The sequence below is a fragment of the Homo sapiens genome, chromosome 3 (genome assembly GCF_000001405.40).
Source record: "Homo sapiens chromosome 3, GRCh38.p14 Primary Assembly".
Taxonomy (NCBI): domain Eukaryota; kingdom Metazoa; phylum Chordata; class Mammalia; order Primates; family Hominidae; genus Homo; species Homo sapiens.
Genome location: NC_000003.12, coordinates 146488974 through 146511923, shown reverse-complemented (window position 1 = coordinate 146511923; position 22950 = coordinate 146488974). Strand labels below are relative to the sequence as shown.

At 38.0% G+C, this 22950-nt stretch overlaps 1 protein-coding gene across 15 annotated transcripts in view, besides 3 other annotated features; it reads left to right on the top strand.

Annotated features, from left to right (window-relative positions):
* Positions 4508–5173: an enhancer, noted in NCBI's record as "NANOG-H3K27ac hESC enhancer chr3:146224538-146225203 (GRCh37/hg19 assembly coordinates)". NCBI's record gives its function as "activates a minimal SCP1, AML or CMV promoter by ChIP-STARR-seq in primed H9 embryonic stem cells {active_cell/tissue: H9 hESC(primed)}" and the evidence as "EXISTENCE:reporter gene assay evidence [ECO:0000049][PMID:30033119]".
* Positions 7485–8301: an enhancer, noted in NCBI's record as "H3K27ac-H3K4me1 hESC enhancer chr3:146221410-146222226 (GRCh37/hg19 assembly coordinates)". NCBI's record gives its function as "activates a minimal SCP1, AML or CMV promoter by ChIP-STARR-seq in primed H9 embryonic stem cells {active_cell/tissue: H9 hESC(primed)}" and the evidence as "EXISTENCE:reporter gene assay evidence [ECO:0000049][PMID:30033119]".
* Positions 7798–7847: an enhancer, noted in NCBI's record as "active region_20673". NCBI's record gives its function as "activates an Ori minimal core promoter by ATAC-STARR-seq in GM12878 lymphoblastoid cells {active_cell/tissue: GM12878}" and the evidence as "EXISTENCE:reporter gene assay evidence [ECO:0000049][PMID:35858748]".
* PLSCR2 (phospholipid scramblase 2) overlaps positions 15933–22950 on the top strand; it is a 104572-nt gene continuing 97554 nt past the window's right edge. For all 15 annotated transcript variants that reach the window (XR_002959563.2, XR_002959564.2, XR_002959561.2 and 12 more), the window contains exon 1: positions 15933–16029. Coding sequence is in view for 4 of the 15 variants with exons in the window: in XM_017006903.3 (XP_016862392.2) it covers positions 16002–16029 (28 nt within the window). In the remaining 11 variants the exon portion in view is untranslated. The remainder of the gene's footprint in view (positions 16030–22950) is intronic.

The window sequence follows — 22950 nt, the reverse complement described above, 5'->3', positions numbered from 1 at the left end:
CGAGATTGCACCATTGCACTCCAGCCTGGGTGACAAGAGTGAAACTGCTTCTCAAGAAAAAGAAAAGAGAGAGAGAGAGGAACAATAATCTGGGCCCCTGAAACCAGATGAAACAACTGACAATACAGAGTCTGAACTCATGATTTACAAACTGAGAGGGCCATGGAATGATAAGGAACAAGTACAACTGGTCACAGAGCTCTGCACTTAACAACCCTCCACACACATACACACACCAAGCATTCAAGTTAAACGTTAACCTACTGTTAATGTTTATATGGTAGAAAACATCAGATTTATGCCAAAATGCAGATTATAAATCTACCCACATTGAATTCTGAATAGATTTGGAAAATTGATCTGCTTGCCTACTAAGTACAATTTGTTTCTGCCTGTGGATTCTGGGGGTTTTCCATCATTAACACATTGAGGTTATTCTGTCTGGCAGTGATAGGGAACAAACATTGGCCTATTTATTTCAGCAAAGGAGTTAGTTGCTAGGAAACATTTCAACTTTAGTCAGGTATTGCCAATAGACTGCAACCACCTGAAAATATCTTAGAGAAATTCTCGGTTATATTGACTTTACAGAGTTAATTAGATCTTAGTCTACCACCCGGTCCACTCGGGCTTCTATACCAAAACACCTTAGACAGGGACAGTGTAATTATAAAGGACTAAAATTTGTTAATTATAGTTCACGAAGCTGAGAAGTCCAAGATCAAGTCACCAACAGATTCTGGTGTCTAGTGAGGGCTGCTCTCTGTTTCTAAGATGGCACCCTGTTGCTGCATTCTCACATGGCGGAAGGCAGAAGGTCAACAGGGACCCAACCGAGCCCTTTTAAAAGGTCACCAATCCAATTCATGAGAATGGTGCCTTCATGACTTAATCACATCCTAAAGGCCCCATATCTGAATACTGTCAAAATGGGTCTTAGTTTCCAACAAATGAATTTGGGGGCACACATACCTTTAAACCATGGCTCCTACTAAGCACATTTCTGTTAAATCATACTGCCTGAATTCTTTCCCCGTTATTGCAAGTCACAAGCAGAAGATAATTTACTCGCAAAATTATTTTTTTTGCAAATCTATTTCAGTTTTTATGAATAAAGACAGATTCACTCAAATAATTCACATAAATGTATTTGTAAACGTTATACCTGAGGAGGAAATGAATATAAAAAAAAAAAGTTGATTGATTTAAGGGCACTGAAACTGCTCATCAATTATTTAACAAGTACATACGGAGCTTCTACACTGGGCCAGTAGTTACGCTAGGTACGATGGTCTCAATAAGCAACAAAAATTATTTTCTACAAGATGCTTAAGGTCAATTATACATATGGAATGTTTGATTATAGGATCCAGAGTACTATGGAGAGGGGTAGTAGGGACACTGAACTCAGTTTTAATGGTCAGGAAATTAGGGGAAGTAACTTTTAAACTAAGAAAGTTTGCTGGACAAAAGGCAAGTGAGATTATTTCAGGCAAAGGAAAGAACATAAACAGAAGTCACCTCAGGGGTCTGAAATGTGGCTAGGCCACTGGTTTTGTGTTCCTTCGTGAGTGAAAGACATGCAGGGGGTAGGACATCTAAAGAGTGGTTAGATCATACAGTGCCTTAGCCACATTAAGAAGTTCAGGTTGGGGCCAGACATGGTGGTTGACACCAGTAATCCCACCACTTTGAGAGGCTGAGGTGGGAGGAGGTAGGAAAGATCAAGTGTCCTTTCCTACACATAGTTCTCTCTCAGTCTCTAGGAATCAGGTGGTGGACTTCTCTAAAGCTGCACTTTTTTTTTTTTTTTTCCCAAGCAGCATGGCTTGCCTGATTGTTCTCTAGGAACTAGTCTAGCCTTTTCAGATGAGAAAGTTACTTTGTCTACACAGAAGTTTTCTCATGGTGATTTGGTATCTCCCTCATCACCAAAACCTGGATACATGGTAGATGGCCTAAAATTGTTGAATTATCTATCTTTCAAATTTACAGTGTGAATCGATTTACGTTTCAGGTCCTGAAAGCTATCAAAATAACCAAAGTCCATTTATCTGAGGAGATGGTATTAATAATTAGTTGTGTAAGTAAAAAAGTCAATAAAAGATGAAGCATATCTGTAAAAAAGATGAATATATTTAAAATAAATTAAGGGTGAATTTTATTATTTTGTTATTATTATCATATCATTTATTTATTTATCAATCTTTTAAGTAGGGGCAAGGGCCAAGTGTGGGTCTACTATTCTGCACTGTCTTTCTTCTATAAAAATACACAGTTTATTTTTGTTTCAATAGAGCCAGAATTCTAAGACACTTTCAAAGGTATCTTAGTGTAGACCAGTCAATTTTTACCATGATTTTTCAGTCATTCATATTTGGCTCACCCTTTACTAACTCAGTAGCAATCAACTTTACTGAGTAGACTTAATAAGCATTTTAAAGGAATTCAGATTAACTTACATAGAAACAATCTTTTATATTAATATTTAATCAAAGCAAGTAAAAATATTTACTTTCTGTAACTACAATAATCTTTTGTATAAACTGATTTACAAATAAATACAAATCACTTTTAGTTGGTGTAGAACTTTTGAGAGAGTAGACGTACCCTAGAACTAGAGAGTCAATAGGGACCCTCTTAATGTAATAGTCAAGTGTATTCAGCATAATTTGAGCTAATAATTAGGTTTTACAGAGAGAATAGGAAATGTCAACCCAAGGAGTTGGGTAAATTAAGATCAGTTAAGAGAGTATCTATATTGACTTTCTTTAATAATTATTTTCTGACAAGGAAAACAATAGTCACCATCAATCCAGTAGGTAAAATAATATGACACTTTTTTATACGATTCATGGCTCCCTCAAGAACTTATCTGCTGCAAAAAGTAAAGGAGAAAGCAGGAAAGAAGAAAGGAAGGGATTAAATGAAAAGGAAAGAAGAAAGAAAAGGGGTTTTTGTTTGTTTGTTTCATTAGAAGTCAACTAAAAAATATAGAAGAAATGACGAAGGTAGGAAATGACCATTTGACAGTCATCATCACAATAATTTTATTCCAGCAAGGAAACATCGGTGGCTGCTAAAATTACTGATGAACATTTAAGGAAAAGCAATATGCAGTACTTACATTGTCTCAAAGTAGCTTCTTATAAGATACTTATTAATTTCAAAAAATAAAATAGTGAGTAACTTTACATTTACTGCATGATACAATTCAGCTGAGCTGCCTGCCATGATATGAAAAAGATCTCCATTCCTCCAGTTTCCAATAACAAGTTTTTTTCCACTCATCTGAACCTTCACCTGAAGTGCATTTAATTCTGTATTTCTACCATCGGTCTCTTCATGTTGATGTAAATCTTCTCTAAGATGATCAACATTTTCTTAGAGAAAATACATACCATGCTCCTCACTTCCTTTTGTATACTTATCAGTCATTAACATCCATATCTCTTCAGTCTTGTCTTAGTTGGCACAGGCTGTTACAACAAAATATCATAAGCTGTCTTAAACAGGAGACGTTTAATTCTCATAGTTCTGGAGCCTGGGAAGTTCAAAATCAAAGTACCAGCAGATCTGGTTTCTGGTGAGGGACCTCCTTCTGTCTTGGAGAGAGCCACCTTCTTATTGTGTTCTCACATGGCAGAGAGTCCAAGCCCTGGTCTCTCTTCCTCCTCTTATAAGGACACTCATCCCATTATGAGACCCCCACCTTTATAAACCTAATTGACTTCCAGAGGCCTTGACTCCAAATACCACCACATTAGGGGTGAGAGTTTCAACATATGAATTTGGCAGGAGAGGTACACAAACATTTAGTTCATAACATTCCACCCCTGGCCCCCCATCATTCATGTCTTTCTTGCATGTAAAATGTATTAATTCTATCCCAATAGTAGCAAAATCCATAACTCATTCTCTCATCAACTCTGGACTTCTAAGTCTCATTTAAGAAACATCTAAATCAGATATGAATGAGACTCAAGGTACAATTCATCCTGAGGCAAAATTTCTTTCCAGCTGTGAGCCTGTGAAACCAGATAAGTTACGTACTTCCAAATTTCAATAGTGGGACAGGCATAGAATAGACTTTCCCATTACAAAATGGAGAAGTTGGGAGGAAGAGAGGAGTAACATGTCCAAATCAAGTTCAAAACCTAGCAAACAAATGCCATTAGATCTTGAGGCTCAAGAATAATTCTTTTTAGTTTGATGCTCTGTCTTTGAGACCCATGTCCTGCAAGGCTTTTTTGGGTGGGGGTTGTGCCCTCAAAGCTCTGCAATGTGAGAGTCACATCCACCCCCAAGGCTCAGCTGAGTGAATTCTCATTCTCCAGGCTCCAGGCTGCCACTGTCTAGCCTGTTGAAACCAAGGCAATGGCTCTCTCCCCCATTGAAAACCAAGGAGACAGACCTGATGACCTCTGAATTGCCCTCAGGATTACTGCTTTTCTTATCTTCAAGAGTAGTACACATCTGCAGCTAAATAGCTTGATGTTCTGGTACTGTGGGCTGTAAGAAGTCCTGTAGCTTCTTTCTATTGAAACTGTTTCCATTGTCTTTAGCTCTGTCAATCTGAAATAATCAAAAGAATCAGAATTCAGTCTTGAAGAATTTATTCTAGCAAAAAGTTTGGAATGATCATTAGAGAAACATTGGCTCCAGAAAATGAAGTAAGTTCCAGTGGAGTCACAGATTAGAAAATGAGTCAATGAATATACTTGATGCAAATCTCATGCAGTTTTTTTTTTCTTTTTTTAATAATCAACTAATCTATGTTAACTGAGACTCCTTGTTCTCCAGCTACTCAATCCACAGGTGGCCTGTGGCTCCTGGTAAACAGAAAGGATAGCAATGTAATTGAAGGCTGTTGTGACTCCTCTTATTGTAGGCCAACTTACAAATATCACCAGGAAATAAAGTCTCATCATTCTCATTGACTAGACAATAAAAGAACAATGGGCCTTGTAAGGTGGGAATGAGGAAATGGCACAATTAAAAAAAAATGATTGGTTAACATCAGATTACTTCAGGTTACTTTTTTGTAAGGGTTAAAGCAGAGGGACTTCCTTATTATGCTGACTCAATCAGATTGAAATTTCCTGTTTTCAGGGGAAAAAAATGGTCTGCTTGGGATCTGTCTGTTTCCTTAAAGTTTCAGTATGATTGTGTAACATTTGGCATGAGTGACTCTATTGTGGTTTAATCTGGTTTGTTGGAGTCTAGTGCGTGAGCTCACTCCAAAACAATGACCTCCCACAATTTTTGTTTACACACACACACACACACACACACACACACACACACACACGGTATATATTCACTTTTTTTACCCCTATTGGTTCTCTTTCTCTGGAGAACCCTGAATAATATGCCAACTTTCCTCTTTCCTCTATAATCAACTTCAATGAATATTTCTGTACATGTATCCTTGTGCTCATGTCAAAAAAAGCATTTATGATTATCCTTATGAGTAAAATTGCTGCTTCTAAGGGTCTAAACATCATTATGAAATATTGTAATATTGCTCTCCAAATAAATCATACCAATTTATTGTCTAAACACCAGTGTATGACCATCACTACAGCTTTACATCCCCCATCAGATCTGGTATTGTTGGGTTATGTTTTGTTTTGGTGAATTCCCAATATTTTTAATTGGGAATCTCATTCTTGTTTTCATCTGCATGAAATTGTGAGGTTGAGTATGTTTTCATTTGTTAAAATTAGATGTTCATGTTTCCTCTAATGTGAATCATCTTTTTGCACACTTTAGTAATTTTTGTATTTGTTTGCTGTCAACTTTCTTATTAATTTGTAGAAGTTTCTTTTTATGCAACCAAATCTTTTATAAGTTTGTAGGCATTGTAAATATCTTCTCTCAGGATATGGCTTTTAATTCACTTTATTTGTGAAATAATATTTTTGTTGTCTAGAGAAATTTTAAATCATATCATTTTTTCAAGGTTTGTATTTTTTTTCTTTTGTTTTGAAGGTTTATTTTTCATAGATAGGTCATTACTCCATTTGGAACTTTTTAATATATGAGTAGATATCTAATTTTATTGTATACAAACAGCTAATCGCTCCAATAACAGCAAAGAGTTCATCTTTTCTACTGATTTGTATTGCTACTTTTGCCAGCCATCCACTTTTCATAGATTTATGGATCTGTTTCCAAGCTTACTCTCCTATTCTGTTGCTCAATATTTTTGTATAAACAATTCCCTTCAAATATTCCTGACAGCTTATTTCCTCTTGAATGTTATTCTGGTCTGGTCCCCTTAAACAGCTGCAATTTATTGATGGAACATAAAACAGGCAAAAGGAAGGAGCAAGACACAGAGTTAATTTAATATCCTGATAAAATAGATCAGCCTTTAGTATTTTAACAGCTATATATTATTTATTTAGTAATTTTGGTTTTGTTTGTAAACAAGCAAGTTATATTGTGGTAAAGAAGAAATATGGGAGTCAAAATAAGACTTTAAAGATGTATCTAATTTTGTAATTAAAATACATTTCCTACTCAACATTTTTTTAATTTTATGTAAAATATTTTAGGCTACACTGTGCATGTTTTAAAACCACTTGATTTTAAAGCTTTTTAATAGAAGAAAAAAGATACAAAGCTGAAGTTGTAAGGGTAAGTGTTAAGTATTGAAGTTTTGTGGGCCTAACAAATGACTGGTTTATATAATTTGTAGAATACTTTTTTATTTTACATACTTACCTAATATAAGTGGTGCCTAAATAAGTAATGCTTTATAGGACGAATTGATGCAGGTGGGAGAGTCACTGTGATATGAGACTGTCAGAGGCCTTTGAACCAGAGCAATTCTATTGTGAATAGGGGCTGGATAAAGTAAGTCTGAGACCTACAGGGCTGCATTCCCAGGAGGTTAGGCATTCTTAGTCAAAGGAAGACACAGGAGGTAGCTCAAGACACAAGTCACAAAGACCTTGATCATAAAACAGGTCGTGGTAAAGAAGCCAGCCAAAACCCACCAAAACCAAGATGTCAAGGAAAGTGATCTCTGGCCTTCCTCACTGCTCATTATATGCTAATTATAATGCATTAGCATACTAAAAGACCCCACCAGCACCATGACAGTTTACAAATGCCATGGAAATGTCTGGAAGTTACCCTATGTGATAAAAAAAGGGAAGGAACTCTCAGTTCTGGGAATTACCCGCCTCTTTCCCAGGAAACTCATGAATAATCCACCCCTTGTTGAGATATAATTGATAAATAACTATAAGCATACTAAGTCAAGTAGCCCATGCCACTGCTCTATCTATGGAGTAGCCATTGTTTTATTCCTTTACTTTCTTAATAAACTTGCTTTCACTTTAGTCTATAGGCTTGCCTCTAATTCTTTCTTGAGTGAGGTCCAAGAACTCTTCTCCTGGGGTCTAGATCAGGACCCCTTTCCAGTAACAAAACTAGGGAAAGTTATCAACTTAACTTACAAGTAAATTAAAATAAGCTTAATTCAACTGAGTAAATATTAAATACACTATCAAAGAGAATACAGTCAGAAAGACAAAAAACAAGGAGGGAAATGAAGGAGAATCAAGAATGTTTGCATTCGGCCGTGCTCGGTGGCTCACGCCTGTAATCCCAGCACTTTGGGAGGCTGAGGCGGTGCGGATCACGAGGTCAGGAGATCGCCACCATCCTGGCTACCACGGTGAAACCCCGTCTCTACTAAAAATACAAAAAAATTAGCCAGGTGTGGTGGCGGGTGCCTGTAGTGCCAGCTACCCGGGAGGCTGAGGCAGGAGAATGGCGTGAACCCCGGGAGGCAGAGCTTGCAATGAGCCGAGATGGCGCCACTGCACTCCATCTTGGGCGACAGAGCGAGACTCAGTCTTGAGCCCACAAGAGTACAGGGAGGTAAGAATGTAGTGGGTGTCTGGCCAAGCTGGGCTTAAGTTTCAGTTACAGCTGAATCTGCACAAACCCCTGCACTGCCGCAGACTCTGCAAATGAGTCACCAACCAAACACTGCTGATGTTATAATAAGGAAAATCCATGTGCACTGAATTCAAGAGTATTTACAGTTGTAGCCACCTGTGGACTTACTGGTGCCCCACTAGAGAAAGGTCTTAGGAGAAATTTGTTTCACAAATGAAGGGAGAGAAAGTAAAAAAAGAATTTGAGATATGTAAAGCACTTGACTTTGCCTACTCACTAGAGTTTCTAAGTATCTCAGTCCTTTTGTTCCCTCTGCTGACTCACGTCAGAATCAGTGTAGTTCCGTGTAGTCTAGCCTGTTCCACCAGATTGAAATCCGTTCCCTTGGGAATGGTGGGAGTTTATTTTCTGGTAACATTTGTCAATTGCCTTGCAATAAAAGGAGTCTTTCAATTAAATCTATCCTTTCTGTTTACCAGGTGCTGCAGGCCACCTATGGGTTGGGTAGTGGGAGAACAGGGAGTCTCAGTTAACAAAGAATAGTAGACCATTAAAAAAGAAAAAAAAAAAAACCTGTCTGAGATTTGCATCAACTATATTTATTGAATCATTTTCTGATCTGTGACTCAAATGGAAAATATATACCCTGGGAATTTGAATTATTATCAGGCAACTCCTACAGATTTCTGTTTGTTTTCTTGTTTGCCATAACTCATAGGAGATTACATTCTGACTTCTAAGGAGAATGATGTGAAGTTCCCACAGAGAAACTCCTCATATAGGTAGGGGCCAGAAGAGAACAAAGTAATCCCATGTCAGTAAAAAAAAATAAAGGAGATATATCCCATCATGTACTTGTGTGTCTTTGTGAGCTTTGTTTTAGGACTCATGTTGACTAGGACTAAACCTGATAACCAAGACTCATGACTCAACCACCTGCTTGGGCCAGACAAGTAAGATAAATGCATAGTACTACAGGTGTAAGACATCCAGCAATGAGGGAAGGTAGGTGCGTTTGTCTGTTTTACATTGCTATAAAGAAATGCCTGAGACTGGGTAATTTGTAAAGAAAAGAGATTTGTTTGGCTCACAGTTCTTCAGGCTGTACAAACATGGCACCAGTATCTGCTCAGCTCTGGTGAGGCCTCTGGAAATTTCTACTCATGGTGGAAGGCAGAGAGGGAGTAGGTATGTCACATGGTAAGAGAGGGAGCAAGAGAGAGAGGGGAGAAGGTGGCATAAAAAACAACCAGCCTTCATGTGAATTAATGGAGTGAGAACTCACTCATTACCATGAGGACAGCACAAAGCCATTCAAGAGGGATCTGCCTTCATGATCCAAACACCCTGCACTGGGCCCGCCTCCAATATTGAAGGTCACATTTTAATATAAGATTGAGAGAAGACATACTTCCAAACCATATCAGTAGAGAACCAAAACTGCAGCCCAGCTAATGTCTCTCAAATTAAAAACACACAAGCAGGATACTTTGCTGGCTAAATTCTCAAATGTAGTCTGGCCTAATTAGCCCTAAATGTCTCCATTTGCACCCACCTACCAGTAGTTTTGTCATATCCATAAAATACTCCTCAGAAGAAAATAATTGAATAAAATTTAAGTATTTAAAATGATTTATTATAAACATCAGCATTTTCTCATGATTAAAAGTGGAGACCATGGAAATATCCCATTAGAGTTAGTCCCAGCTGTGCCGCAGTTTCCTCTGAGCAGTTTTGAGCTTTGGGCAAGTCATATAACTTTTCCATGCCTTAATGTTCCCATCTGTAAAATAGGCCTATTAACAGGGGGAACCAACCAGTCCACCTGTGGCCACACTTCTAAATAGTTTCAATACAGTTCAAAGGGTTGTTTTAAGAATTTTATGAGTTTTGATATGAAATCTTCATTGAGCCATGTCTGGCATGTTGATAGCAAGCAGCACAATGGCATTACCTATTATTATGTTACTCACTTTTCCCCTTTAAAGTGAAAGTCTGTTTGATATCTGAGTATCATACTTGCATAGTGTTATGGTCTGAATGTTTTTGTTCCCTTGAAAACTCATATTGAAACTTAACCCCTAGTACAACAGTGTTAGAAAGTGGGGCCTACTAGAAAGTGTTTAGGTCATGAGGATGGAGCTCTCATGAATGAATTAATGCTGTTATACAAAGGATTGTGGGAACAGATTTTCTCTCCTGTTCTTTCAGCATTCCTCCCCTCCAGATTATGCAGGGTTCAAGGCACCATCTTGGAAGTAGAGACCAGGCCCTTACCAGACAGCAAACCTGCCAATGCATTGATCTTGGACTTCTCTGACTCCAGAACTATGATAAATCATTTCTATTGTTTATAAATTACCCAGTGTGTGGCATTCTGTTATAGCAACATCAAACAAATTAAGACGCAGAGTTCAGTTATTCTGAAATCCTTTAACCACTTGCCTTTAAAACTTATTTTAAAATATCATTTCTAGTTAAACTTTGGAGCAGGTATATCCACTACACATAACCTATTAGCTAGGGTTCTTTTGGCACAGTGATTGTTGTCATATTTTAGAATGTATATAAATTTCCTGGAGAACTTGATAAAATGAAGATTGCTGGGCCCATCCACAGAGTTTCTGATTGAGTAGATATCAGACTTTTCCAGAGAATTTATTTGCATTTTAACAATTTCTAATGTGATACTGATTCTGCTGATCTGGGGACCAGACTTGAGAACCATTGTCTTAGCAAATGACGTCCAATGTTTGTTTGGTAAAGAATTTTGAAAATGTAAACAGTAAATTTACTCCTCTGTGTGTGTATATATACATGCATCCACATTCACATTTATAATTTGATATATAAAATTATTATCATTTACTATGTATTTAAAAAGATATTAAATAATCATGTAGTATGAATATGTAGGATGTTTAATATTCCTGTAACATTTCTAAATTGCCATCATTGGCATGTTTTAAAAAATATTTCATAAACATGGGATTTTTAATTTCTTAAAACTACTAATCAGCTCATTCATCGTTGTCTGACAGATATAATCACTGCTCATTTGGGGCAGGAAGGCTTCCTGGATGACCTCCTTCAGGCCCCTTCCTGGCCCCTGCTCACCTTGGTAAAGGTCTGGGAAAAAAATAAAATAATGAATAAACAGAAAAGTTTTCTGGCTTCCAGGCACATGATTCTGTATGTATATGAGCTTTTGAGATTTTCTTTTAATGAACGGTATTTTCTTTTAACAAAGTATAATTAGAAAGAATATAAAGGTATGTAATATGGAATTTTTAATAACTATTAGTGACATAGTAATAGTAAATAATGTAAGGAAGAGGAGGGCCAATCAAAACACTAATGAGCAAGCTTGTATTTTGTAACTGAGTTTTTCTTACATATAGATGTGCATAATTTAAAATGCAAGATAACATGTGAAAGATTTATTTGAACTTCCGTCTGTGGTAAAACTGGCAGTGAAGAACTCATATCCAGGGACATAATACTCCAATTTTACCATAGATGGTGATTTTTTTGTGCCCAGTATTTAGTCTTTCTTGCTTTTTTTTTTTTTTTTTTTTGAGATGGAATTTCACTCTTGTTGCCCAGACTGAAGTGCAATGGCGCGATCTTGGCCCACCCCAACCTCCATCTTCCGGGTTCAAGCGATTCTCCTGCCTCAGCCTCCCGAGTAGCTGGGATTGCAGGCATGCACCCCCATGTCTGGCTAATTTTGTATTTTCAGTAGAGACAGGGTTTCTCCATGTTGGTCAGGCTAGTCTCTAACTCCCCACCTCAGGTGATCCACCCGCCCCGGCCTCCCAAAGTGCTGGGATGACAGGTGTGAGCCACTGCGCCCAGCTATTATTTCTTTTATAAATGTGAGAGGGAACTAGTATTTGAACTTTGAAAAACTGGGTGATTCAAGCTATTGTCTGATTTAAACTCACCTGATTTTATTACATTTTCTTATCTTGCTGAAAATATAGGTGTTTTATTGAAGCAATTACATTCTTAAGAGAAGGAATTTATTCTTTTCACTGTTAATGTATACAATGTCTCAGAACATAAAATAATCTAGGTGTTTCCATGTGGCCAAATTGTAAAACAATATGTTCTAGGATTCTGCCAAGTGACAGTGTTCCCACATCTCCCATATAGGATTCTGCCAAGTGATCAGACAGTGTTCCCACATCTCCCATTCAAGATCACAGGATATCAGCTTTAAAGAAACAGAACTCTGAAGCCCAATTAATCTAAAAGGTGGTCCATTTTTGTTAGTTTCTTGGTTTCGGGCACTGTTCTGTTTTATTGTACAGGTCACAAAGTTCATGTGAAGTCTGTAACTGATCCAGCTTTCCCAGTTGAAAAAATAAGTACCCAGTTCACCTCCTTGCCTCTAAATGGCATTTTGAAAATTATTAATCAAACTACTCTTCTAATAATAGATTGATTTCATCCATCTGTAGCAAAAGTAAGTGCTGGATAATTAAATTCAATTATATTATCAACCATAAGAAATAAGTAAATCATTGTTGCTTCTGAAATCCAAATATGACAAGGATTTGATTTCAGGCACCTGAACTTTGTAGCTCAGTCAATTTGAACAAAAACAATAATGGTTATCTAAGCTTTGGTTTTCTTACCTCTAAAATTAGGATAATAACCTCTTCATTTTAAAGTTTGTATTAGGATAAAGTAAACATGTTCTACTATTATTCTTATTTTTATTATTAATGCACCATTAATTTTCAATTCTACTTAGATGACATTCTGCTGCAAACCATTTTTTATTAATTTCATATGATGTAGGTAGTAATCTAACTGATTAATTTTTTAAAAGAATGATTGTCTATTCATCCTTGGTATTGGATATATCTAATCTAGCATTTTCCTTCTGAGGAATTAAGTGCTTTCTTCAACACTGGTGTATGTTTGTGACGTAATTTCAGGTCTTGATATGTAAAGAAAAGTATGTATTTGTGTGTGTATCTACTTACTTAACAGACGCATACTTCAGTTTGTTTTCCAATTTTAGATTTCCAAATTTTAGTTTTGTCTAAACTTGTAAACTTATAATTTTAATTCAGCATATCCATATATCAAAATATGATCACTTCCTTTAGAATTCAAATAAGAGTGTGTGAGAATAGATGCACTACCGGGGAATTTTATTACCAGAAGAAACCCTCCAGTATAATTTATAAATACAAAAACTGAGGTTTTAATGTTACTAAGTTAATGTTAAAGCTCATTATTATTACTCCTTAAAGATTCTGGGTTTCGAGGTGTCTATATTACCTCATGAGTTTGGTAAAAACAGAGAACATTGAATCAGTGACTGAAAAAGGAGGAAATTCAGTTCCGGGTAAAGAAGGTTTTGAGGCACTATTCTCTTTCAAAAATCTCAATATACTAGATGTTGCAGTGAGACACTGTTGTTTCCATGTTTTGTTTCATCACTTTTATGTCAGTGTTCTGTAACCTATTGTGTCCAGAATTGGTGGGTTCTTGGTCTCACTGACTTCAAGAATGAAACCACAGACCCTCGCAGTGAGTGTTACCGTTCTTAAAGGCGGCATTGTCTGGTGTTCGTTCCTTTTGATGTTCAGATGTGTTCGGAGTTTCTTCCTTCTGGTGGGTTCGTGGTCTCCCTGGCTCAGGAGTGAAGCTGCAAACCTTTGTGGTGTTACAGCTCTTAGGGCAGGGCGTCTTTAGCTGTTCCTTCCTCCCAGTGGGTTCGTAGTCTAGCTGGCTTCAGGAGTGAAGCTGCAGACCTTTGCGGTGAGTGTTACAGCTCATAAATGCAGTATGGACCCAAGAAGTAAACAGCAGCAAGATTTATTGCAAAGAGCAAAAGAACAAAGCTTCCACACTGTGGAACAGGACCCAAACCGCTTACCACTACCAGTTCCGGCAGCCTGCTTTTATTCTCTTATCTGGCCCCACCCACATCCTCCTGATTGGTCCATTTTACAGAGAGCCTATTGGTCTGTTTTAGAGAGAGCTGATTGGTCCATTTTGACAGGGTGCTGATTGGTGCGTTTACAATCCCTGAGCTAGACACAAAAGTTCTCCACGTCCCCACTGGATTAGCTAGATACAGAGTGCTGATTGGTGTATTTACAAACCCTGAGCTAGACACAGAGTGCCGATTGGTGCATTTACAAACCTTGAGCTAGATACAGAGTGCTGATTGGTGTATTTACAATCCCTTAGCTAGATATAAAGGTTGTCCAAGTCCCCACTAGACTCAGGAGCCCAGCTGGCTTCACCCAGTGGATCCTGCAAGGGCCGCAGGTGGAGCTGCCTGCCAGTCTGGCGCCTTGCGCTTGCACTCCCCAGTCCTTGAGCAGTTGATGGGACTGGGCTCCGTGGAGTAGGGGGCTGTGCTCGGGTGCACTGCGCAGGAGCCCACGGCAGAGCGGGGAGGCTCAGGCATGGCGGGATGCAGGTCCTGAGCCCTGCCCCACGGGGAGGCAGCTAAGGCCCAGAGAGAAATCGAGCACAGCCCTGGTGGGCCAGCACTGCTGGGGGACCCAGTGCACCCTCCACAGCTGCTGGCCTGGGTGCTAAGCCCGTCACTGCCCGGGGCCGGCAGGGCCGGCCAGCTGCTCCGAGTGCGGGCCTGCCGAGCCGACGCCCACCCAGAACTTGGGCTGGCCTGCAAGCGCTGCTTGCAGCCCTGGCTCCTGCCCGTGCCTCTCCCTCCACACCTCCCTGCAAGCACAGGGAGCCGGCTCCGGCCTCGGCCAGCCCAGAAAGGGGCTCCCACAGTGCAGCAGTGGGCTGAAGGGCTCCTCAAGTGTGGCCAGAGTGGGCACCGAGGCTGAGGAGGCGCCAAGAGTGAGCGAGGGCTGCCAGAACGCTGTCACCTCTCACTATGATCTAGGTTAGTGGATCCAAGAGGGCCCAGTTCTGGGAGGCTAAGTTGCTCCTTACTGGCCCAGATAAAGGGGAGGTTTTCAACATGCTAATCTGGCTGAGGGCTTATGAGACTATTTGCTTGTGACCCATTTAGCCTCTCTTGTCTTCTCCATGGGGAAGTTACACAATTTATTTTGGACAGGCCAAGCTCATCTTTCATAAAGTGGCAGCCTTTATCCTGTATTGTTTCCACTGATTAATGCCAGTAGGTTCTTATCTGTCTTGACCAGATGCTGCTGTGAGGTGCTAAACCTGTGCCCTTATTCACAGGAAATGCAACCCCGCCCCCACCACCACCCTGGGATTCATTGACATCATAGTCAGTGGAAGAAGTAACTTCATGCCCATGTACCTTCACAAGAGTCCAAATCCCTTCACTTTGTTCAGAGAGGATTACAGACACCCAAGGCTGTTGTGTTGTCCATAGCTAAGCTTGGCAAATGGGCCCACACAAGAGAGTCACTTACCATAGTATCCTTAACATTCTGCTTCTAGATCCTGTAATTGAAATGTGTATCCAGGTTGTTTCATCTCTCATACATTGTGAATACTTTTCCTTTCTGTTCTGAGATACCAAAGAGATACTTTTCCTCTTACTCAAATCCTACTACAAAACATAATGTTCTAATTTACATTCCACTTAGGCTTTCTCTCTTTTTATATGACTGAGAAGATCTCCCAATAACAGTGTGCTCTTGCACAAAGTGCAAAGTAATGAAACTAGTACAACAGAGGACAACGTACAATGCTCTGAAACCATTTTATGCACCATCATGTAATTATTTGATTGTTCCATTTTATTGTTTAACATGTAGTGGTAAAGCCTTAGGTATCAGAAACTTCATGTGGAACTGGCCCCACTTGATCAATTATTGGAATATAGGAGGTGTGACATACTACTTTGAGGTGTGAATACTGCTTTGAGGTGGCACACTGCTTGCAGGAGGCATGACCACTGCTTTGAGCCTTTGCTGCCATTCCAACACCATGGGAGAATTACAAGCTTTATATCCTGGTATGCGTACAATTATTCATAGAACTAGTCAGCTTCAAAGTTCTAAATGGAATGTCTATTGTTGTGGTTGCTTGTATCTGCCCATCTTAGATTCTTCCTAGCAATAATTCTGAGAGACTCTGGATTGTGGGCCGAATGGAGAATGAAGCCTTTTCAAATTCACCTCCCAGGTAGCCAATGACATGTAGTTTCCAGAGACTAACGTGCTTCAAATGTTGATCTCTATAACTACTACATACTCCCTTTTGTTTATGCATATGTTCCTATTCACGAACTACCTAATGGGGACCTTAAACTCATACTAGGTATCTTAAACAGTGTGAACTGCTGTAACAAATACCATAGACTGGGTGACTTATAATAACAGAAACTGGTTTCTGTACTTCCAGAGGCTGGGAAGCCCAGAATTAAACAGATTTGGTGTCTGATGAGGGTTCACTTCCTCACAGATGACCAACTTCTCACTGTAACCTCACAGGGCAGAAGCGGGGAGGGGTCTTTCTGGGGTCTATTTCTATAAGGGCATTGCTCCCAATTCTGAGAACTCCTCCCTTGTGGCCTAATCATCTTCCAAAAGCCCTACTTCCTAAAACCTCTGGGAGTTAGGACTTTAACATATTAATTTCAGAAAGATATATTCAGTCCATTGGACTGGGAAACTGTAGTATTCAGAATTTATTACTTTGCTGATGCTTCATTGTTGCCCATATAATATAAAAGAATATTGTGATGTATTTTTAGAGACATTGCCTAGGATTCCAGGTTTGGGACAAATCTCTGAGCTTCCACTCAGTACAAAGTGTCCAAAAATAGGAAGAAGACATTTATGTTCTTCTCTAGAGAGAAGAAAAACGAATGCCATAGTTGGAGTGTAACAAAGCCTCCAACTTCATCTTACATCTAACTTGAAAATCACCATGTATATGAAATATGTCTGACCCTGAATGAACCTCTTCTCTCCTACTCTAATTGATACTCCTCTTTCCCAATCCATTATTTATGTCAACTATTCCTGCCATTCCTCTTCTTTAGGATACCTGGATTCACTTTATAGCTCTTCCATGTATAAATCTAATGGATAACACAACATCTCTGAGGCTCATATTTTGATCCATAAAACTGGGATCAGAGTTGACCTACAAATGATCTGCAAGTTTCTACAGTGAACCCACTAGGAAACACTTCTAGAGATAAGAGTGTTTCATAAGTATGAGACCTCATGATGGAAAGTCTGAATTTTCTTTCAAAATTAAGAAACCTATATATTTGGGTGAAGCATAATGCAAAATCATATTCCTTCTAAGACTTCAGGAGAACTTTCCAACTAATATAATTGTGTGATTATTACTATTCTTTGAAGATCTGTGATTTAGAAAGTATTTAAACCATGAGTGTTTAAAAACTGTTTGTATTTTAGGTTCACTGACAGCAATATATTACTTTATCAAATTAAATAGACTTAAGAATAATACAACAATGTAACATTGAGATTCTTTGACAAAACAACTGGAAGACCACCAGTTTGTCTGGCATAATTAAATATTTTGTCTGGTGACATGTATGTTTAAAAATCAATATAGTTATACTTATTAGCAAGTATTAAAACATATATACACATATGCACTGTATATGCACACATGTAGACAACATGAAAAACAGTAATATACTTAATAAAACATAAAAATTAATAAATACATACATATCTGGGATTTTTAAATTAAGTACATTGCCATTCATGTATATGAAATATTTATGTACTTACCATTATACATAGATGTGACATAGTTCTTATTTGTTTTAATTTCAAATAATAGTCTCTATGTACAATTTCATATGCACAAAACAATTCAGAATAAGGGCTCCAAAAATCTGTGCCTCAAAGAAAGCAGTCAGAACCCAGGTAAAAATGGTCAAAACCAAAATTTTAGAACTCCGAACATTAACCAATGACCTCAATCTAAAGGTCATCTTAAAAAATGTGAAACTATCATAGAACAGTGAGCTGTGGAATTTCAACTTGTTCTATTTCCATCCTCCAATCCCCAGATTCACAGAAGATTTGCAAACCAACAGCTCTGTAGTCACAGTAGCCATGATGTAATCAACAGAAAAATTCCACCTAAAGATGTGTATGTCATATTCCCCAAAACCATAAACATATTATCTTACACATTATTAATGTCAACATAATGTCTATGGAATGAATCCAGTGACATATACTTTAGAGACACAATGTTCTCAAAGTTTTTACACTTGCAAAAAAAAAAAAAAAAAAAAAAAACGCCACCTTGGACTGAAAAACAGAAAGAAGAAATCAAAGAAATTTGTTGGACTCCCGAAATGCTATAAACAGAATATTGCCTAATAAAATTACTCAGCTGAAAACACATGCTTACCTTTTTTTGTTTGTCATAGATGGCTCTTATTATTTTGAGGTATATTCTTTCACTGCCTAGCTGTTGAGTGTTTTTAACATGAAGGAATATTGAATTTTTATCAAAAGCCTTTTTTATGTCTATTGAAATGATCATGTGGTTTTTGTTCTTAGTTCTGTTTATGTGATGAATCACATTTCGTGAATTGCATATGCTGAACCAATCTCGCATTACAGGATTAAAGCCTACTCAATCATGATGGATTAGCTTTTTGATGTGCTACTGGATTTGGTTTGCATATTTTGTTGAGGGGTTTTACAACAGGGATATTGTTCTGAAGATTTTCATTTGTAGTGTTTCTGCCAGATTTTGGTATGAGAATAATGCTGGCCTCCTAAAATGAGTTAGAAGATAGTCCCTCCTCCTCAATTTTTTGCAATAGTTCCAGTGGGACTGTTATCATCTATTATTTGTATATCTTGTAGAAATAGCCTAGTCCAAGGCTTTTTCTTGTTGGTAGGTTTTTTATTACTCATTCAGTTTTGGATCTTGTTTTTGGTCTGTTCAGGATTTCAATTTCTTCCTGGTTTAATGTTGGGAGGTCATGTATTTCCAGAAATTTATTTATTTCTTCTAGATTTTCTAATATGTGTACATAGAAGTGTTTGTAACGGTCTTTGAGACTTTTTTTTTGTATTTCTGTGGGGTCCATATTAATGTCTCCTTTGTCATTTATGATTATGTTTATTTGGATTTTCTCTTTTTTTCTTTATTCATCTAGCTAGTGGTCTATCAAAGCAAGCTTGATTTTTCTTTTAAAAAACCAAGTTTTGGTCTAAGTTAATCTTTTGTATGGTTTTTCACATCTCATATTCATTCAATTAGCTCTGGTTTTGGTTATTTCTTTTCTTCTGTGAGCTTTGGGGTTGGTTTCCTCTTCTTTTTTTTTAAAATTCCTCCAGGTGTGATGTTAGCTTGTTAATTTGAGTACTTTCTAACTTCTTGATGTACCTGTTTGGCACTATAAACTTTCCCCTTCCTACTTCTTTAGCTGTGTCCCAGAGATTCTGGTGTGTTTTATCTTTGTTTTCATTAGTTTCAAATTTTTTTTGATCTGACTTAATTTTATTCTTTACCCAAAAGTCATTCAGGAGCAAGCTGTTTAATTTCCATGTAATTGTATGGTTTGGATATATCTCCTTAGTATTGATTTATATTTTTATTGCACTGTAGTCCAAGACTGTGATGAGTATGATTTTTTTTTAAATTTTTTGTGAATTGCTTTATGCACAAGTATGTGGTTGATCTTAGAGTATGTGCTGTGTGGAGATGAGAAGAATGTATACCTGTCGTTGTTGTGTGGATTATTCTATAGATGTCTGTTACATCTGTTTGGTCAAGTGTTGAGTTTAAGTCCTGAATAGCTTCATTAGTTTTCTGCAGAGTATTGTTGCCAGTGGACTGGGAACACCTCAGCCTCTCCGATGCAGTGAGTATTTGATCTCAAGGGGCCAGCACATACAACTGAAGGCCTGTTTCCAGGTCAGTAGGGTCGGAACATACAGCTGAGAATTGCTGATCTGAGCCTCAGAGCCATGTAAGCATTCAGAAATGAAGCCAGTTGACTAAACCCAACTTATAACACAGTCAAATCCTTCAGGGCATCAAAGGATACAAAAACACAAAGACCCATCCAAAGGACAGCAACCTCAAAGATTAAATGAACACCAGTCCACACAGATGAGGAAAAGACAGTGCAGGAACTCTGAAAACTCTTAAAGCCAGAGTGTCTTCTTACCTCCAATCAACTGCAGTAGCTCCTGGTTCTTGGTCACACTGAAATGGCTGAAGTGACAGACATAGAATTCAGAGTATGGATAGCAAGGAACCTCAAAGATACAGAAGCAGTTTGAAACCCAATTCAAGAAAACTAATAATATGATCCAAGAGTTGAAAAGTGGCATAGTCATTTTAAGGAAGCACCAAAATAGCTTCTGGAAATAAAAAATTCACTTCAGGAATTTAATAATGCAATTGGAAGCATTAACAACAGAGTAGAATGAACTGAAGTAAGAATCTCAGAGCTTGAAGAACATTCCTTTGACTCAATGCAGGCAGACAAAATTTAATATTTTTTTAAATGAAGAACACATCTGAGAAATAAGGGATTACGTAAACAGAACAAGCTTATGACTCATTGGCATTCTTGAAAATGATGGAGAAAGAGCAAGCACTTGGAAAACATTGTTGAAGATATTGTCCAAGAAAATTTCCCCAACTCCACTAGAGAATTTTCAGTGTGAAAATTTAAGAAATTCAGAGAACCCTGTAAGATACTGTACAAGAAAAACATCCCCGAGACACATAGTTATCAGGTTTTCTAAGTCAATGCAAACAAACCAACAAAAAAATCTTAAAGGCAACTAGAGAGAAGGGGCAGATCACCTAAAAAAGGAACCCTAGTAGTCTAACAGCAGAAGTTTTAGAAGAAACCACACAAGCCAGAAGAGATTGGGGAGCTACATTCAGCATTATTAAAGAAAAGAAATTCCAACCAAGAATTTTATATTCACCCAAATTGAGCTTCAAATGTGAAGAAGAAATGATATCTTTTTTAGGCAAGCAAATTCTAAGGAATTTGTTACCAGTAGGCCTGCCTTACAAGAAGTCTTTAAGGGAGTGCTAAACATGGAATCAAAAGAACTGTAGCTGTCTCCACAAAAACATACTTAAGTGCATAGCCCACTGACACTATAAAGCAACTATACAATCAGGTCTATATAATAACCAGCTAACAACATGATGACAGCATCAAATTCTCACATATCGATATTGATTTTGAATGTAGATGGGCTAAATGCCCTACCTAAAAGGCAGAGAGTGGCAAGCTGAATAAAGAAGCAAGACCCAACCATATACTGTCTTCAAGAGACCCATCTCAACTGTAATGACACCCACAAGCGCAAGGTAGAGGGATGGAGAAATATCTATTAAGCAAATGGAAAACGAAAAACAGCAGGAATTGATATTCTTATTTCAGATCAAGCAGACTGTAAATAACCTAAAAAGTCAAAGCATTACATAACAAGAAAGTGTTCAATTCAACAAAAAGACTTAACTATCCTAAATATATGTAAACCCAACACTGGAACACCCAGATTCATAAAACAAGTTCTTAGAGTTCTGCAAAGAGACTTAGATAACCACAATTAGATAATCACAATAATAGGGGGAGTCTTCAACATCTCATTGACAGTGTCAAACAGATCTACGAGGCATGCTTCATTTTCAAAGAAGGAAGGAAGTATTCTCATGGCAGAGTTGTCAGCCCAGAATGCAGAGAGCTCTCAGCCCAGAGAATGGAGCTGACAACCACAAAGGAATATTCTCAGGCCTTGAGAGCTAATGGAGTTTGCTTTGCTGAATTTCAAATTTCCTCCAAATGGTGGTTCCTCTTTTTCTTCTATTTTTTCCCCCTTTTGAATACAAACATCTATAATAGGTATCCTATACATGTCCCATTATTGTGTTTTGGGAGCACTAACTACTTTTCCAGTTTCAGAAGTCCACAGTAAGAGAGAAATTTTGACCCAGATGGATCATTCTCAAAATTATTATCAACATATGGTCTACATGAAAAGATCTGGGACTTTTATGATGAGATTTTTGGACTTGAGTAGATGCTGTAATGTGTTGAGGTTTTGGAGACCCGGAATGGGGTAAATGTGCCTTGCATGTGAGATGGCTATGAATCTTTTGAAGCAAGTGGGAGAAATATAGTAGAGAGAAAAATAGTTCCCAGCATGTTCATATTATACTCCCTGGAAATCATAAATGTATTGCCTACATGGAAAAAGGTAGCTTCAATCATGACTAATTGAAGGATCTCTAGATGGGAGATTATTCCACACCATCTGGGTGGGTCTTCTGTAATGGCAAAGGTCCTTATGAGAGATCACAAGGTCAGAAGATTAGAAGATCGAAAAGGCAAACAAGTATTCTTTATATAGTTTCTGGAACAATAACTGTGAGGAATCATTTAAGACTTCGGACCTCCAGAAATGAAAGACAATACACTTGTATTCCTTTAAACTACTGTTTGTGTTAATTTGTTACAACAGAGAGAAAGAGAGAAATTAGTAAATGTGAAAACTAGCAGCCAAGCAATCAGTCACTGGAGGGAACAGAACATGATTGGACCTCTCTAAAATTTTTATCCTCTAAGAATTGCTGCCATTTTACTGGTCTACAAGTTCCCTTGAAAATCCATTTGCAGAGCTTGTCTTTATTTGACCTAACTCTGAGCTCAGTCAGTGAAAAGAAATAACGTTTCCCCACATAGCTGTTTTTAATATATATTTTATTTTATTTTAAGTTCTGGGATACATGTGCAGGACATGCAGGTTTGTTACATAGGTAAATGTGTGCCATGGTGGTTTGCTGCAACCATCAAGCCATCACCTAGGTATTAAGCCCCACATGCATTAGCTATTTATCCTGATGCTATCTCCCCTACTACTGCCCCAACATGCCCCAGTGTATGTTGCTCCCCTCCCTGTGTCTATGTGCTCTCATTGTTGAGCTCCCACTTATGAGTGAGAACAAGCTGTGTTAGGTTTTCTGCTCCTGTGTTTGTTTGCTGAGAATGATGGCTTCCAGCTCCATCCATGTCCTGCAAAGGACATGATCTCATTCCTTTTTATGGCTGCGTAGTAT